The sequence below is a fragment of the Homo sapiens genome, chromosome 9 (assembly GCF_000001405.40).
Source record: "Homo sapiens chromosome 9, GRCh38.p14 Primary Assembly".
NCBI classification, from domain to species: Eukaryota; Metazoa; Chordata; class Mammalia; order Primates; family Hominidae; genus Homo; species Homo sapiens.
The window spans coordinates 136001575-136018366 of NC_000009.12; the positions used below are offsets into that span (position 1 = coordinate 136001575).

Here is a 16792-nt window from a genome sequence, read left to right on the forward strand (position 1 = left end):
GCCACGAGCCGCACGCCCTGCCCCGCCTGGTCCTCTCAGCAGCCTTTCCCCGGGGGATCAGTTTCTCTTCCCCACCCTGTCTTTAAATATATACACGTACTGTATATGTTTTTTTGTTTTTGTTTTGTTTTGTTTTTGAGACGGAGTCTCGCTCTGTCGCCCAGGCTGGAGTGCAGTGGCATGATCTCGGCTCACTGCAAGCTCCGCCTCCTGGGTTCAAGTGATTCTCCTGCCTCAGCCTCCCGAGTAGCTGGGATTGCAGGTGCGCACCACCACGCCCAGCTAATTTTTGTATTTTTAGTAGAGATGGAGTTTCACCGTGTTAGCCAGGATGGTCTCGAACTACTGACCTCAGGTGATTCGCCCGCCTCGGCCTCCCAAAGTGCTGGGATTACAGGCGTGAGTCACCGCACTCGGCCATATACGTATGTTCTAAACCCACCATTTTGGCCATTTTTCAGTGCACGACTCAGTGGCACTGAGCACAGTCCCCTTGTCCTGCAGCCATCACCCTCCGTCTGCAGAAGGCTTCATCTTCCCCAACTGAAGCTCCGCCCCCACGAAACACTGGATCCTGCACCCACAGCCTGGCCCCTCCATCCTACGTACCGTCTCTGTGATTTTGGTGACTGGGCACCTCACGAAGTGGACGCTTGCAGGAGGGAGTTGTCAGCCTGGCTCCTCTCACCGAGCCTCGTGCCCTTGGGGTGCATCCCTGTTTTAGGGCCCATTGTGTTGCACTTGGTGGGTGGACCTTTTCTGTGGGTTGTCATCCGTTCATGGGCTCTGGGTGGCTGCACCTCTGGGCAGTGGGGAGGGGCGCTGCCGTGACCGTGGTATCCTGCAGGGTCTTTGGGGCCACCCGAGTGCTTCTCCCCAGGGACCCCGATCCACCTGCCTGGCTGCAGCCAGGCTGGTCTGAGGGCGCCCCAGGGAGGATTCCTTGCCTTTGGGATGGCCAGGCTGAGCCCAGTGCCCAACCCAGCTTTGGTGCTGACTCCCTCACAGGTGTCCTGAGCTTCAACTGGCCACTGTGCAGGCTCTTGCCACTGCTACTGTCAACCTTCCCAAAGAGCCACCTCCATGTCACCCTGTTCCCTGAGGAACAGGGCCAAACAGCCCAATCCATCCCTCCTTGGAGGAGAGCCGAGGAAGCCCCTCGTGGTGCGGGTGGGGTGACGTGAAGGGACAGGTGGCACCTCAATGTGTGTGTGTGGTAGGAAGGAGACCTCAACCCTGGGCTGGGATCCCAGTTCCAGGGCCACCCCTGGGCTGAGGCACCTGGAAAGACACGTCCCCTCTCACCAGCTCACAGGCCCCAAGCCCAACCTTGAACCGGGTCTTGTCTGTCCCAGAGCCCCTTCGTCACTGGGAAGTGCCTGGTCTCCAGGAAGGGTCCTGGCCGACTGATGAGGGACATGGGACAGCTGGGGAACCAGGTCCAGTGGCCAGCCAGAGCTGCGGACATTCCTGGGCTGCTGGAGCCTCCCAGCTGGAGGGGAGGGAGGAGCGGGGGATGAAGACACGTGTCCAGGGCCTCGGAGGCTGTCCCTCTGTCCCTCTGCCTCCTGACTGTCCCATGTGACCATCCCTCCTTCTCTCCCGAGTGCAGCCCACAGCGGGGCCGCAGCTGCTTCCTTGAGAGGGAGCCTAGTTTTGCCCTCAGGAGGACTCCAGGAAGAGGGGCTGAGGGGAGTGAGGGGTGGGCACCGGGGAGCTGGCTCCTCAAGGGCTTGGCTTGGAAGGGGGGGGGGGGCACCCTGAAGCTCCCGTGCCAGGGAGAGCTGCCTCCTGGTGCCAGGGTAGGCATCCGGCGCTGGTGCTCAGGGAGCCCCATTCCAGAACCTGCCCGACTACGGGGGCCAGAGGGACACATAGTGACCTCCCCAGGTGGCCTCATCTTACCTGCTGGAGCCGGGAGCCAGCCAAACACCTCAGCCAGCCCTGGCCCCATCTCGAGGCCCCTGCCCCCACCTCAGGATGCCGGCTCTGCCCAGCCTGGGTCTCGAGCGCGGGTGGGAATGGTGTTTGGCAGAGACCCAGTTCCTTTGCTGGCTCGGCCTGGCTGTTTGCCCACTGAGAGGTCCGTGCACCCCACCCAAACTCCTCTCTCTCTGGGCCCCAAGCCTGCCCCAGGCAGCTGAGCCCTGCCTGGGAGAGGGGCCCTGGAGAGGCTGGGTGGGGACTTCCAGTCATCGGGAACCTTCCCACCCAGGACTGCTCAGCACCCTTGGCCCACCCAGAGTCACCTCCCTTAGCCTGGTGGGGTCCCAGGCAGCCAGGCGGCCCCTCCACAGCAGCTCCCCACTCCCTCTGGAAGCCCAGCCCTCAGCTCACTTCTGCTGCATTTCCAGTGGGGCTACCTGGAATTCCTCCAAACCCCACCCTAGGCCTCCTCTACCTGCTCCCAGCTCTAGCCCTCCAGGGTGGCCACAGTTCCCCAGGGAGCCCCAAGGGGAGGGTGTGGCCTCGGGCCCTCACCCTGAGGGCGGGGATCTAGTCCTCTCCAAGCCTCTCCACCCCACATCTCTGTTACAGCCCGTGGAATCCTGTGGACACCCCACCACTCAATCTACCTCCTGCCCCCCACCCCTGTGTGCTCAGATCTATGTGGGGCCCCCAGTGATCAAGAGGTCATGGGAGCTGGGTTCCTCTGGGCGGCCAGATGAGGCCCCATCCTCCCCCCACCCGCCCCACCCCCTTCCTGCCCCAGGGATCTTCTCCCAGCCTGAGATGTCCACCGCCAGACACCTTCCTGTCTTTGAGACCAGAGAGTCCTGGCCTGAGGGCCACAGTGCCCCACGGCAGGGTCAGCTGCTCCGGCTGTGTGGATAGGGACCCTCTGCCCCTAACCTGCTGCCCCCGCCCTCCTTCCTCTTACCAGTGAAAGTCCCCCCACCCCCACCATGGTTCCTCCCCAAGAGGCCTGTGTCCACCACCAAACAGAATGTCTGGCCAGCCTACCCCTCACGGGCCGCCTGGTGGGACAGGCACAGGGAAGGGCTGGACGTCCCCCAGCCCCTCTGTAACAGCAGAATCAGGCCGGGAGGTGGGTGAAGGCAGGGGTGCTCTTACTGGCAGCCCGAGGAGCCTTCATCTCCTCATCAGAGTGGGGTCTGTCCAGCCCACAGGTGCCAGAAGGCACACGTGACCCAAAGCGGCTGAGCGAGGGTGGTCACAGGGCCCCAACCCAGCCCCTCGGGCTCCCCGCAGGCACCCTTCCCTCCCCAGACTCTGGGCTCAGATCCCTCCCAGGCCCCTCCCCCACCCAGGGCTCCTGACCCTTTTGTGCAGAATCACAAAGGGCCGGGGACAAAGCCGTGGGTCCTGCTGACACAGCGCCCTCCTCCTGTCCAAACTGACAAAGGGGGTGGGAGGCCCATGCAAGGCTCCTGATGCCTCAGCCGGTTTCTGTCGGGGCTGCAAGGGCGAGGCGGCCGTGGGAAGGATGGGGGACGGGGAATGGGGGACAAGGGATGGGATGGGCAGCAGGTGCCTGGCTCCCCCTCCTCCTTGGAAAACCAGGGCCGACTTGGTGGAGGACTGGGCTGGGTAGGCCCCCTCCCAGAGTGGCAGGATTCCTGGGCCAAGGTGGGGCATTCTCCACGACCCTCCCTCCCCTAACTGGGCCACCCAGACCTCAGCAGTCCTAGCTGCTGAGGGGGCCTGGGACCCACCTGGGTGCGGCATTTGGGGTCTTGCAGGTGTGCATCCAAGCTGTCTGTCCTCACCAAGCTCCCCACCAGCCAGGCAGGTGCTGGCCCTGAGAGCTGGGGGCTCTGCTCCTTCTCCAGGAAGTTGAGTCGGATACACTTACCCTGGAGGCCTGGGGCTGGGCTTGGTGGTGGGATGGGGACTGGAACACTCCGTGTTCCCTGGCCCCCACTGGGGAACAGACCCCTTGGGCATTCCTGGTGGGGACAGTGTGGTGATGTGGCTCCTGTAGGAGGCAATGGCTCAGGGTGACCTCAAGCGCCATCCCCTTGCCACATGGGCCCTTCCATCCAGGGGGCCCATATGGAAACCACATCCATCCATTTGAGACAATCAGGGGCTGCCCTATGCTGGCTCCAGAGGACCCTCTTCTGGGAACATGGCCATGAAGCCCTGCCCAATAAATCCACCACCTCCCTCCAGTACGGCGGGTGCCATGAACCCTGTGAAAGGGGAAGAGAGGCCAGGGAGGGGTGCCCGTAAGGTGATCAGGGGTGGTCCCCTGGACGAGACCCTCACAGGACCGCAGGAAGTGAGGAGCCTGCCAGGAAGGTATCCAGAGGAAAGTGCTTCCAGACGTAGGAGGCACCCATCAAGGGCCCGGCAGGACAGGTCTGGGGGACACATGATTGCAAAGCACTCAGCCTGTCCTTGTGGATACGCCAGAGGAGCAAAAGGGAATGGGGCTGGCCACGCAGCCTGAACCCCAGGACACCAGCCCCAGAGCTGGAGAGAAGGCCAACCCCGCGGGCCCAGCTCTGCCCACCTGCACTTGTCTCTCTGTTCACCTGGGGGCAGACATGGCCCGGGAGGGGGTGGGGGAGGGGGAGGGAAAGAAGGAGCCACGCACCTTTTGGGTGGCAGGTGAGGCAGATGAAGGGGCTGCCCCACTTCTCAGACAATAAAACCAAGGTCCCGAAAAGGAGACCCCCCGACCCTGGCAGGTTGCCTGCGGGTCCGGACAGGGCCCCCCTCTAGCAGGCACACTAGTACCTGCAGACATCCTACCCACCTGCCCCTTCCCTTGTAAAACACTGGGGAGAGCAAGAGATGGGTCAGGTGACCTTGAACCCCACAGCCAGATCCCTGCCCTGTTGTGTGGACAGCTGGCCTGGGGACGCCGCTAACAGGGACGGGGTCCTGAGGGTGCCCCTGGGGGACCATTGGCCACCCCTGCCTTCAATAGCCCAAGCTTGGCTTCTCTGTGTCTCCCCCAAACCCCACAGGGCCAAGCCAAGTCCAGGAAACTTAGGTTTGAACTGACTTTATTATTTTGTAAATGTGAATTTTACAAAGCGCTTTACAATTAATGATCACATCCTTTTGTTTGTCATGGATTTCCACTGTCTGAAACGGCTCTGAGCACGCTTGAAGCCCTCGGTTTCCCTGTTCGCTTTTGAATGTTTCAGTTTTAGTTATTGATACAATGTCAGCCATGGCTAAAAAGTAACAGTCTTGACTCTACCGAGTAACAGCACAAAAACAGAGTGAGGGCTCAGGAAAACAAAACAAAGGCTTCCTCCTTAAAAAAAAGACAAAAAAAAAAAGCTAAGCATCTGTGGCTGAAATCTAACTCAGTGGTACTGTGAAACCTTCCTTTACAGCACAGGAAAATTTATTTTTTAACAGTCGTGAGTTACAGTACTTTAACCCCTAAACAGACTCTTTAAAACAACCGTCTCCTTTTTAAAAGTCTCTTTTTTCCAAACATTCCATCCGAAGGATGGATGCTCTACTTGCACCCAGTGCCATCCAAATCTTCAAGTCAAAAATATTTATACATTTTATACTTAGTTCTTTTTTTTGTCTGCTAAAAATAGTATTGCAAGTTTTGGCTTCTTTTGACATAAAAATCACAATCGTGTACGATGCTAACAATGGAAGCGACTGATCGGAATACGAGCCGGTCGTCCAGTCTGAATGCTTGCGATTCTGCATGATTTTCCTTTCCTTTTCTTTTTCCAAAGAAACAAAACAAACAAACACGAAAAACCTTTGCCATTTTAGAACCATCTTGTACCAAACCCTAAATGCTCCGGTGGTGACGTGCACGCGCGTGCACACACACAGACACACGCGTGCACACATACACAGACACGCGTGCAGAGACACGCACGTGCACACAGACGCGCGTGCACACATACACACAGACGCGCACACACACGCGCACACAGACGCACACACACAGACGCACACACGCACAGACACACACATGCACAGACGCGCACACACAGACGCACAGACGTGCACACACAGACACGCACACACACACAGACACGCGCACACGCACACTCTCACCCACGGAGCTGGCTGGCTGACATGACAAAAGTATGCAGCAGCAACATTCTGAAACAGTAGTTACAGCTGAGGACAGCTACGAGCTCTGGATTCTGCGCTTAGGACTCGCTGCTGGCAGAGGCAGACAGAGGGTTCTTGGAGTTTTCAGTTGGTTCATGGGCCATAGATCTTTTTCCACTTGCTGCCAAGATGTTTCCATAAAAATTTCCCTTTGAGGGGAGCCCAGGCAGTACACGGCTGGGTGGGGTGGGGGGACTGGGCCAGCGCTTAACAGTTTCAGCTGTCGAATGAGGACAGGTCAGGGTCAGGCACTAGAGCCCCCTCAGAGGGGGACCAGCCCTCCCTCCCTACCTTCCGCCTTCCTCCTGGCTCTAAACACAAATGCCAAAGAATGACTCTTCCTGGAGGAGAAAGGAGGCCAGGCAGCCGGCTCCTATGTTCTAGGAGCCCCGACCCGCAGTCACCAACGCCGGCACCCCCAGGCGGGTCCTGCTGACCTCTTGCCCACAGCTTTGTCCACATTCAGGGGCAAAGTACAACAACCAAATCCAATGCAAAGTTAAGTGACGACAGAGAACTCGGGTGGACAGACACAATGCGGAAAACAAGACAGAATTCAAGTACCGAGGCACCCAGCCAGGCGCGGCCCGCCGGGCTCACAGTATCTGTCACACCTCCGGTCCCTCCTGGACCTCTCCATGCAACCCAGCTGCCTCCTGGGCCCATCCCCTTGGGGAAGAGGAAGGCAGGGCAGGAGAGGCGGCTAGATCCCAGGCCCACCACCTGCCAGGCGGCAGCTCCAACACGGTCCAGTCCCTTCTGTCCTCCTCAAAAGGTGTGGAGATAACGTAGCTCTGTAATAGATTCTATATAGGATATGCGTATTGCTAATAGTCAGGCTTAGGGATAAAGGTGCAGACATCTCATAAATACTGAGTGGCTCGTCTCTCTCTACAGGGTCTGGATGAGTCAGGGTCACACTCACAGGACAGGACAACCCCGGATTCTAGAATTAGTCATCTTGTAAACAAAGGAGGGAAGGGTCCGGCTTTCTTAATTGGTTTCCTTGGGAAAAATGATCAAAGGATGCTAAGGCACTCTGGAAGGCCCCTCTGAGCCCGGGCCGCCGCCCCCGCCCCACGGTACATTCAGGACGTGGAGGGAGCACACAGCAGGTCCGCTCAGCAGCCACGCACGTCCACAGACACTCCCGACTCACGCCCACCGTGGGACACATTAGTGCAAAATGCTCGGCCTGGCCCGCCCGGGGCGCAGGGAGAGCTCAGAACCCATTCACATTAAATTATTATTATTTAAGTTTTATCTATAGCTCTTGCCTTCCTTACCCAGAACAAAACAGACGGCGATTACAAACGAGTGAGGAAGGGGCACGGGACATTGTGCGGGCCTGAACAGCAGTCAGGCGTCCTCTGTGCAGCCACCACCTCCGGCAGCAGCCAGCGGCTCCCTCCCTGTCCTGGCCAAGGGTGGGGGGGCACCCACTTTGGAGTGGAGGGCAGAGAGAGCCCTTCTGTCAGCAGCCAGGCCCCCAGGGATGGTCAAATTAAAGTGCAAATTTGGGTGTGGGGCAGATGAAGGAAACTCCAGAGGGAACTCAAGTGCAGCTCAACCTCACCTACCTGCCCCTGCTCCACCCCGCGGCTTCCTCCCATCTCCGAGGAAGGCTTGGTCCAGGTTCCCAGCGGGCCCCATGGGGGCTCCAACCCCACCTGTGCCCAAGACAGGGGAGGAAGAGGCAGAGAAAGGCTCCCTCTAGGCTGGGTGGTTCTTAGTTCAGCAGAAGGTCTGGATGCCTCTGCACCACTGAGCCACCTGCAGCCCTAGGAATGCAGGTCTTGGTCCCCCTGGACGTGGGCCCTGAGGAATGGGTGGAGGGGCCGAGGTTAGCGTCCACAGTGCCTGCCCATGGTCCCCCACCTCCTTCTGGAAAGCAACGTATTTTTCTGGAGGGCAGGCATGTGCTGGGCCTGGCTGGAGGCAGCCCAGGAGGCTGAGTGCTGTCTGTAGAGGCGGCCCCACGGGAGGTCTCCTAGGGCCTCGCCACAGGGGTGGGCTTCGGGGCAGAAAGGAGCCGCCCAGTGGGAATGCGTCTAACCCACACCCTGTAGGTCCCCAGGCCAGGGTGCAGCACATGGTCCTCCCCTAGCGGAGGCGGCCTCCGCTTGATGGGTTGTGGAGGTTGGGGGAGTGGGGTGCGCTGGTCGGCCACCGCTCACTGGCCTGTGTGCACACCGGAGGGGGTGCTGATGGGCGCAGGGCTGCACTTGTTTTGCAAGTGAAGATGGGGAAGCCGAGTTCTGGAGGGACAGAGGTGAGCAACAGACATTTCAAGTCTTGGGATGGGGGGTTCTTCTGGCCACACCTGGGAAGGAGGGCTGCCCCTGGACAAGGACACAGGCCTCCAAAACAAAAGGGAGGGACACCTGGGTAGGTGGCCACACCAGCACTTCACACAGGACTTCACACAGTCTGTGAGCCCTACCACTTAAAAAACAGTAATTAAATTTCAAAGGAAGCACTCCAGCCTCAAACCAAACAGCCCCATCTTCCATGGGCCCTTCCTCCACTGTCCCTGGCCCCCCAACATGATCCCTAACCCTCTGTCCCCTACCAGTGCCCATACCTCCAACTGCCCCAGCCCAGGCCTGTCCCGGTCATCCCCTGCCTGCAGCCTCAGGCACCCTCCATCCATGCACACCCCTCAAGGCAGACGGGGAGCCCAGCACCGGGAGGACCGACTCTCGCCCTGGCCCAGCCCTGGCCGCTGCCTCCTGCCCGAGCGGAGTCCCCCGCTCCCCAGGTCCGGCCCTGAGCTCAGCTTCACACGTACTAGTCGCCCACCCGGGACCCCCTTTTTCCCCCAGTGGGAGACGAGTGGTCCCTGGCCCTGGGCGGGGGAGCAGGGGGACGCACCCTAACGGCCACAGATGACCCACCCCAAGCCATGGTGGGCTGGGGACAGGGACACCCATCCCACCCAAAGTTTTTGTTCTATTGAGTCTGAAAGTTTCCAAACCATATATGAAATAGATCTAAATTACAACAAAACCTAAAAAAAACAAGACAAGCATAATCCCAAAGTGGCTGAGGCGGCAGAGGGCAGCGTGTGCTACATCAGCTGTGCACGTCCCACAGTGGGCCCGGGCGGGACAGTGGGAGGCCAGGCGGGGTCAGCGGTGCCCTGGGGGTCAGGGGACCGAGGGGCTGCAGAGCCGAGACGGATCGGGCAGAACAAGGACAGGGTGTGGGGGCAGAGTAAAGTACCCTTTTCTCCACCCCGAGGGGTGGGCCACAGCCATCACTGCCCCCTCACCACACCCCTGCACACACACGCACACACACACACTCGTGCACACACCCCACACAGGTGGAAGGCCCGGTGGGCCTGGCCCCGAGTCTCCGAAAGAAGGAAAAACGAGGAGTTAGGCCCTGGAGCCTGAGCCCTGCCCCGTCGCCCCAGAGAGGTTCCATGGGGAAGGAAGGAAGGGTCAGTGACGCACAGCCCAGCCCCCTCGCCACAGACCACCGCCGGCCCCTGCTTCGTCTTCCGGGCAGGAGGAGCAGGAAGGGCAGGGAGGAAGGGGCAGGGCTGGGCACCAGGGGCCTGGCGGCCTCCCACCCTCCCCAAGAAGGGGGAGGGAAGCTACACTTGGAGGCTGACCTTGTGAATATCAAAAGGGAGCCCTGGGAACTTCCTCGCAGGAGGCTGCCAGTGGCCTAATTGTTTACAGTATAATGAATGCATTTGTTTCCTTCATCAATTTTAAATACAAGCAGAATAAAAATCACATTTTTCTCAGGCAACAGTAGCAGTTCAGTAGGTAAGTGGCTTGATCACATTTGTTTGTATTAGTAACGCATGCAAGCAGCTCTAGTACTCGGTCCCTCGCGCAGCCACCCAGCTCCGCTTACAAGGTCCCTGCATAGGTGCCCTCCGGCCTCCGGGCCGCGGCCGCCGGCGTCTGGGGCCTGCTGGGGCCGCCCCCGCCCTGCTCAAAGGGCTGTGGGGGGCTCTGGCCATCGGCGGGCAGCGGCTCGGGGGCGGCCACCTCCTGGATGACCGAGCCAGCCCCGTCCACCTCCTCGCCGGCGTCGAAGGCGGGGTTGGCGGCGGCACTCAGGTCAACATTCACGGCGTCAGTTCTCAGAGCCACGATGGTGGCGGCGTCGCCCCGCCGCTCGGCGTAGATGCGTTGCTCGAACACCTGTGCCGCGGCAGGCGGGAACTCGGGGTCGAGGGGCACGCTGGCGGCGGCGGAGCCCATGACCGTGCGGTACATCTCCACGCCCTCCGGCAGCATGGACTTGATCTTGGGCAGCCAGCGCTTGCGAACGCGGCGGGCGTTGGTGCACATGTCCGCGGCGATCACGTTCATCTCGCTCTCCTTGAAGCTGGGGGCGAAGTTCTGACAGTACACTGTGAGGACGGGGCGGCGTGAGCTCAGCCACCTGCCTGCCGGGAGGCCCGCCCCTCCCCAAGGCCACAGAACCATGATGCCCTGGATGAGCCTCCCCGGCCGCTCCTGGGGCCCATGTGACCACCTGGGGCTCTCCTGGCCTCAGCCAGAAGACCAGAGGTCACGTTTCTCACTGCTCGGCCTGGGAGGCCTCCCCACCCCATTCCTCTGGAACAGTCTCTGGCCTGGTCAGGCCCAGCAGCCTTGGCCGTCCGCCAGCTGTGAGGCTCAGGCCTGTTTTTAATCTCTCCGGGCTTCCGTAGCCCCAACGGCTAACGGGAACTGGTCAGAGGGTCCCCCTTTCGGGAATAACACACCCCTCCCCGTCCCAGTCCCAGCCTGGAGGAGGGGAGTGACAGAAGCCATCACTTCAGCAACACTCGCCTCCTTTCTCTGGCAGGAGCCCAGGCCAAGGCCGGGTCATTCCTCCCAACGGCATCAAACCCAGAGGCAGGTCCCAGGGGCCACGTCCACCTCGGTCCCTCCCAGAATCTTCCCAGAGCCTCGGCTGCCACCCCACACTTGGGGACTGTAATTCCTGGCTGCAAAGGCCCCTTTTTGCTCTAAAACAGAATTTGCCTCACAAGGTTTTTTTTTTTTTTTTTTTTTCTTTTTTTTAGGAAGAAAACAAGATAGTGCTTCTTGGGCCGAGGGCCACAGGAGGCTGTGCTCTTGGCCACCTGGTGCGAGCCGGCAGCAGTCAGCATCTTCCACATCTGGGGCGCGGGCCGGGGGCGGCGGTCTGCCCTGGAGATGGACCGGGCTCCGCCCCCACACGCCCAAGAGCGGGAGGCAGAAGCCGGCCGAACAGATGGCAAAGGCTCAAAATAACCGCAAAATGTAAATAAGGGGTTTTGTTCAAAAAGGAAAATTAGATCTATTTCACATATTAAAATAGTTTCGCAGCTGAATTCATCACACTTGGAAACCTACCAAGAACGTTAACACCTCGAGACCTGGCTTCTGAGAGCTGCTCTTTTCTCCTCATCTTCCCCTCAATCAGACCATGCTCGGCCCCCAGGGACGGAAGCTGCAGGTGGCCGGGAGCACCCCCGCGGCCCACCCAGTCCTCCTCAGGCTGGGATCTGAACCCAGCCCCGGCCCCACCCACCCGAGAGACCCCCAGGCTCTTACATTTCACAGCGTTCAGGACCCGGCTGTCCAGCGGCTTCCGGCTGGGGTCGCTGGTGGACGAGCGGATGCCAGTCCCGCAGCTGTTGGCCAGCGTGTTCCTGGTGGAGGGACCGGAAAGGCAGGCAGGGTGAGGATGATGGGGAGGGTACCTGGAGGCGACCCGCCCGCACGAATGCCCTGCTGGGAGGCCACTTGGCCTCACCCTTGGCTGGTCTGCGTGTGTCCCAGTGGCAGGAGCCGGCCCAGCCACCCTCTAAGGGACAGGACAAAGGAAAAGCGTCTGGGCTGAGAAGATGACCGGGTGATGGGGCTGCAAGGTGACCTGAGCCTTGTCCTCAGGGACTCCGGGGACGTCTGAGGAAGCCGCTGTGTCCTCGGGAAGGGTTCTGTTGGCCCATCAGCACAACAGAATAAGTGTGGCTCTTCATTTTTCTGTTGTGGGGGTTGCATCCACAAGCCCGTTTGAGAAAGGCCACGAAAGACAGCCCCTCCCTCCCTCCCTGGGAGCCTCTCCACCGTCCTGGGGCCGACCGGCCACGGCTGAAGTCAGGAATGCGAGAGGGCTTTCAATGCCACAACCCTGGACGATCAGACAGCTCATAGCTAAAGGAGCCAGAACCCTCCGCAGCTCCATTGTGCCCTCCAGCACTCCTGCCCCGACCTACCTGTCAAAGAAGGTGGCCAGGAGCCTCCGCAGCAAGACCTTATGCTTCACCCCTGCACACAGGTGGCAGTTCATCAGCTGGCCGCGTGTGATGTAGACCCCAGAGCCTGCAGCCACCAAACAGAAAAAGGGCTCGTGGCCTTCCCGGGCCATAGGGTCCGAAGAGGCGCACAGATGGGTGAGGGGGAGGGGGGGAGGTGGAGGGGGAGGAGGAGCTGGAAGCTTCTAGGACTTTTTTTGGGGAGGAGCAATTTGAGGTCCCACCTGCTGGTCACCAGGAGAGGCCATGGCCAAGGCCAGCCCCAGCAGGTCCCAAATCACACATGGAACTAAGCAGGGGGTGGGGAAAGCCACAGCGCCCCCCACCCTCCCCAACGAGCCCCAAACTCCAAGCTCTCCCGGCCATGCTGCGGTCCCCGGCCTCAGCTCCCTCCCCAAGAACACACTTTGTTGTTGTTTAGAGACGGGGTCTTGCTCTGTTGCCCAGGCTGGAGAGCAGTGGTGCCATCATGGCTCACTGTAGCCTCGACCTCCCGGGCTCCAGTGATCCTCCCACCTCAGCCCCCTGAGTAGCCGGGACCACAGGCGCCACCACCATGCCCAGTTAATTTTGATGAAGTCTCCCTATGTTGCCCAGACTGGTCTTGAACACCTGGCCTCAAGCAATCTTCCCACTTCGGCCTCCCAAAGTGCTGGGATTACAGGAGGAGGGGCACTGCACCTGGCCTAGGGAACACACTCTGAAGGGCTGGCTGTGGCCCTGGGTTTGGGAAACACTCATGTCTTTGCCTTTCTGCTCCGTCCCAGATACCAGAGAGCCCTCAGGCAACGATGAGGGAGACGGAATCCCCTGGCTGGAGGGTATGGCTGGAGCTTTGCAGGGCCCAGTGCTGACCTCCTCTGGGTATGTGTGAAGAGGAAAACCAGCTAGGGCAGAGGCGTGGCCAGAGAGGTCCACGCTGTGCTGTTTACCCTCGGAAACTTGACCACACCCCAGGTGTCCCACCAGGGTCTGGGTGAGCGAGGGCATGGACAAGCAGCAGGACTGAACCCTCTGGGAACAATGGGGAGGGAATGCTTTCTGGGGGCAGCCAGTCTCAATGACCATGAGATGTCATGTCCTGAAGGACACGATGTCCAGGTGCGCCTGCTTCCAGGAGCCTGTGAGTGCCCATGACCTCTTCCTGCCATGGCCCGTCTCCTGCCCCACCACTCCCACAGGCCCTTCCTGCCAGGGTCTGGGCTGGAGGAACTCTCCTGAGGAGCTCATAAACTGAAGCACGTCTCCAATCCCATCAGCCCCACACCCCAAACAGAGGCCACAGCTGCTGGAGGCTGGGATGACCGAGAGCATCTTCCTGGGACCACACCTATGTGAAGCACCAGGGCCCGCGTGGGCACCTGCGCCCCAGAGCCCAACCCCAGGGGCCCACCCAGCCGCCCCGGCAGCCCAGCACTGCGCTCGCCATCCAGAAGCAGTGCCGGGGCAGGGTGGGAGCTCAGGCCACAGCAAGGTGGGCCCCTACCCCTCCTGGCCAGGGCAGCCCAACACTGCCAGGTGCAGCCCAGGAGGCCACTCTCCCATGAGGACCGAAGTCCCTGGCAGCTGGAAGGCGAGGCCAGCCCAGGCAACCCTCAGGCAGTGGCTCACACCTGAGGCACTCGTCCTGCTGGGAGGGAAGACCCCGAGACGCTGCCCAAGGTATGGCCTTTGGGGGTGGACAGGAACAGGACAGGGCTACGCAGAACTGCTCAGGCTGTGGCCAAGGAAAGCGCCTGAGGGCCCAAGCTTGGGGCTTCCTGGAAAACCGGGAAGAAATCCCCAGAAAATGGCCCAATAGTCACCAAAGAAGATGCCCATGGCGTGGGTCAGACTGGCTTTAGCCTGCCCCATCTTCTCCTTAACAGTTGTAAAAATCTACAAGGAGCTATGACGCCAAAGGAATCCAACACAAAAGGTAAATTCCTGAGCGAGGCCCGGCCCCCACGGGCTTCTGGACTCGGACGTGTTTGTTCTGCCAGAAGGATCCCGCCTTGACTGCTGCTGCCACTTGGAACCTGGCCGTTACCCTCAAAGGCTGCAACTGGACCCTCGCGGGGCGGGGGGACTGGCAACTATACGTGACATGGTTTTATCTGTGACCTAAATTAAAACACATTGTGATTGCAGCCCCTGCCAATCAGGAATGCGACCAGCCCAGGGGATTCAATTAAAATGCTAAATTAATTCAATTGAATAACTTCTCTTAATGACACATTCTTCTAAAAGGAAATTAGAGGAAATTTAAGATTTTTTTTTTGACTGATTGGTGATGAGTACATTGTTCAGAGCTCTCCAATAAATAAATAAATAAATAAATGAGGACATTTGCATACAATAGATGGGTGGGAGGCAGCCTCACCTGCCACCAGCTCCAGCTTCTCCCCGGGGTCCCCTTCCGAGTAGAGCTTGGGATGGCAGCGGTATCCGATCTGGCTGATGAGGCTGGCAGGTAGGGCCACGAGGTCGCGGCGGATGAGGACGCAGGAGCGGCTCTCCAGCGGCACTGGCTCAGGCTTCTCTTGCACTGTGGGCCCAGAACCAACCTGGTCAGATGGGCATCTGGGGGGCCGGGCTGCTCTGTGCCTGCCCGCCTGCCCTCCATGCTCCCTGGGGCCTGTGTTAGACCCACTCTGCCCACCTGGGCCCAGGTGAGGCCACTCTGTGCCGCTCTCCTGCTGGCCTGGGTCAGACTGGCTTCAGCCTGCCCCATCCCTACTTGGTGCCCTCTTGCCCACCTAGTCCTGCCCTCACAGGGAAGCTCTTGTGAACGAGTGAGCAGAAGATGTGAGGCGAGAGATGCCCGCTCAGGCCCAGGGAATGAGCTGCTGAGGGCTGACTCCTAGGAGGGTGCTATGCAGAGCCTGCTTGCCGGGCAGGAGTGACAGCTCAGTGCTTGGGTCCCCAAGGGAGAGTACGGCGCAAGACAGGATGGAGGATGGAGGACGGCTTGGCAGGGCCAGCAGGGCAGCCACTTCTGGGGCCACAAAAACTGCTGGGTGGAGGAGAGGTGGGTAGCTGGACAGGGGTGACAGGTACTGTGGCCCCCAACTCTTCTCCCAGCAGCTCCCAGCAAGGGGCAGTGGGGCATGGCCACCTGACTCAGGGGCAAGGACACGGGGGACTCAGTGCATCCAAGAACACAGCCCTGGGACTGTGCTGGCCTGACGAGGAGCAACTCCATAAACACTTGCCAATAGCCAGGCTGGCCGACACGCCACCGCCACCGCCACCAGGGGCAGCCCTCCTGCTGTCTGGGGCTGTTCCCGACAAACCACTGCTGGGGCAGATGACGGCCAGGCGCCCTGCATCCTCAGGACCTGCAGCTGTGCAGCGCGACCCCGATGGCACCACGCGTCAGAGACGGGCCCCTCGGAGGCTCCTGGGCCACACAGCCCATGGTGCCACCCCGAGGTCCCTGGGCAGGACTCTCTGCTGTCAGGGTCACAGAGCCCCTCTAGAGCGTTCATGGAGGGCCAGGGCTGAGACCCCTCATCTGACGACCACCTGCTGGACACCCAGCATGCACCAGGTGCGCGGGGCCAAGGAAACACAGCCCTGGCCCCAAATCCTGCCCAGCAATGCCTGGGGCTCCCACTTCCCTGTTGCCCCCCACCCCCACCACCCTGAGTCCCAGGAAGCCTCATAGGGCCCACCCTCACACAGGGGTCCTCACAAGCCCAGCAGGGTTCCAGGGTGAAGATCAGCTCCCCTGAGCGGGCCCCCGGTGCTCACATGCCACGGTGGACACCAGTCCGGCACTCCTCACACCCCAGCCTGGTAGGCTGCCAGCACAGCCACCCTGCTCAGGTGAGGGCGGAGCACCGCCTCCCTCATTCCTGTGTCCCAGCACAAAAGGCAAGGCCCTGAGAGGGCCACCTGCCCAGTCAGCTGCCTTCACTAGGGAATCAATCCCACTGCCCTGGGCTCCTGCACACCCTACCGAGCGCAAGGCCTGCAGGGAAGGCCCCAAGGCCCAGCCTCCACCTGCCCGATTGCACGAGGGCAGCCTGCAGGTGGGAGAGGCCCTTGGGCCACCCGGGGCTGGACCTTGCTTGCCGAGGGCACGGCATGGTCCCCTCGGCAGCCTCAGTGTGATGGGAAGTCCCCCGGTGGGGGGCGGGGGGCAGCTTGCAGGACCTGCTGGTCTCAGCTGTGCAGAGGGAGGGGTGGGGTGGAACCTGCACGTCCAGCAGGCTCGGGGCAGGCAGCTCCATGCAGAGCCCACCTGCGGCCGCACCGCACCAGGACGCTCAGAGGCAGGTGCACCTGGCCATGCTGTCCCTGTTCCCAGTCCCTCCATGACCCCCACCTTGGAGAGTCACAGAAAAACTCTACAGGGGTGGCTGAGCCTCGGGGCGTGGGGGGGCTGCCAAGGGGGCTGCTGGGGAGCAGCCTGAGGAGGGCAGGAGGCAGGGAGGGTCCCAGAGTCACCTTTGCACCCAGCGCCTGTCAGGGAGGGGC

General features: G+C 60.6%; 1 protein-coding gene and 1 long non-coding RNA gene across 2 annotated transcripts in view, besides 1 other annotated feature; one reads left to right on the plus strand and one right to left on the minus strand.

The window, feature by feature from the left end:
- Positions 1-4962: 4962 nt before the first annotated feature.
- Positions 4963-16792, minus strand: part of NACC2 (NACC family member 2) — an 88753-nt gene continuing 76923 nt past the window's right edge. Inside the window, exons 3-6 of the mRNA NM_144653.5 lie at positions 14691-14855; positions 12290-12395; positions 11625-11722; positions 4963-10450 (exon numbers count right to left, since the gene is read on the minus strand). Of these exons, the coding sequence (NP_653254.1) occupies positions 9942-10450; positions 11625-11722; positions 12290-12395; positions 14691-14855 (878 nt within the window). The 3' untranslated portion in view covers positions 4963-9941. The remainder of the gene's footprint in view (positions 10451-11624; positions 11723-12289; positions 12396-14690; positions 14856-16792) is intronic.
- Positions 10923-11713: an enhancer, noted in NCBI's record as "H3K4me1 hESC enhancer chr9:138904343-138905133 (GRCh37/hg19 assembly coordinates)". NCBI's record gives its function as "activates a minimal SCP1, AML or CMV promoter by ChIP-STARR-seq in primed H9 embryonic stem cells {active_cell/tissue: H9 hESC(primed)}" and the evidence as "EXISTENCE:reporter gene assay evidence [ECO:0000049][PMID:30033119]".
- LOC124902307 (uncharacterized) lies at positions 12939-14525 on the plus strand. The gene is made up of 2 exons (XR_007061861.1): positions 12939-13192; positions 14197-14525. It is a non-coding gene; the product is annotated as an uncharacterized LOC124902307 (long non-coding RNA).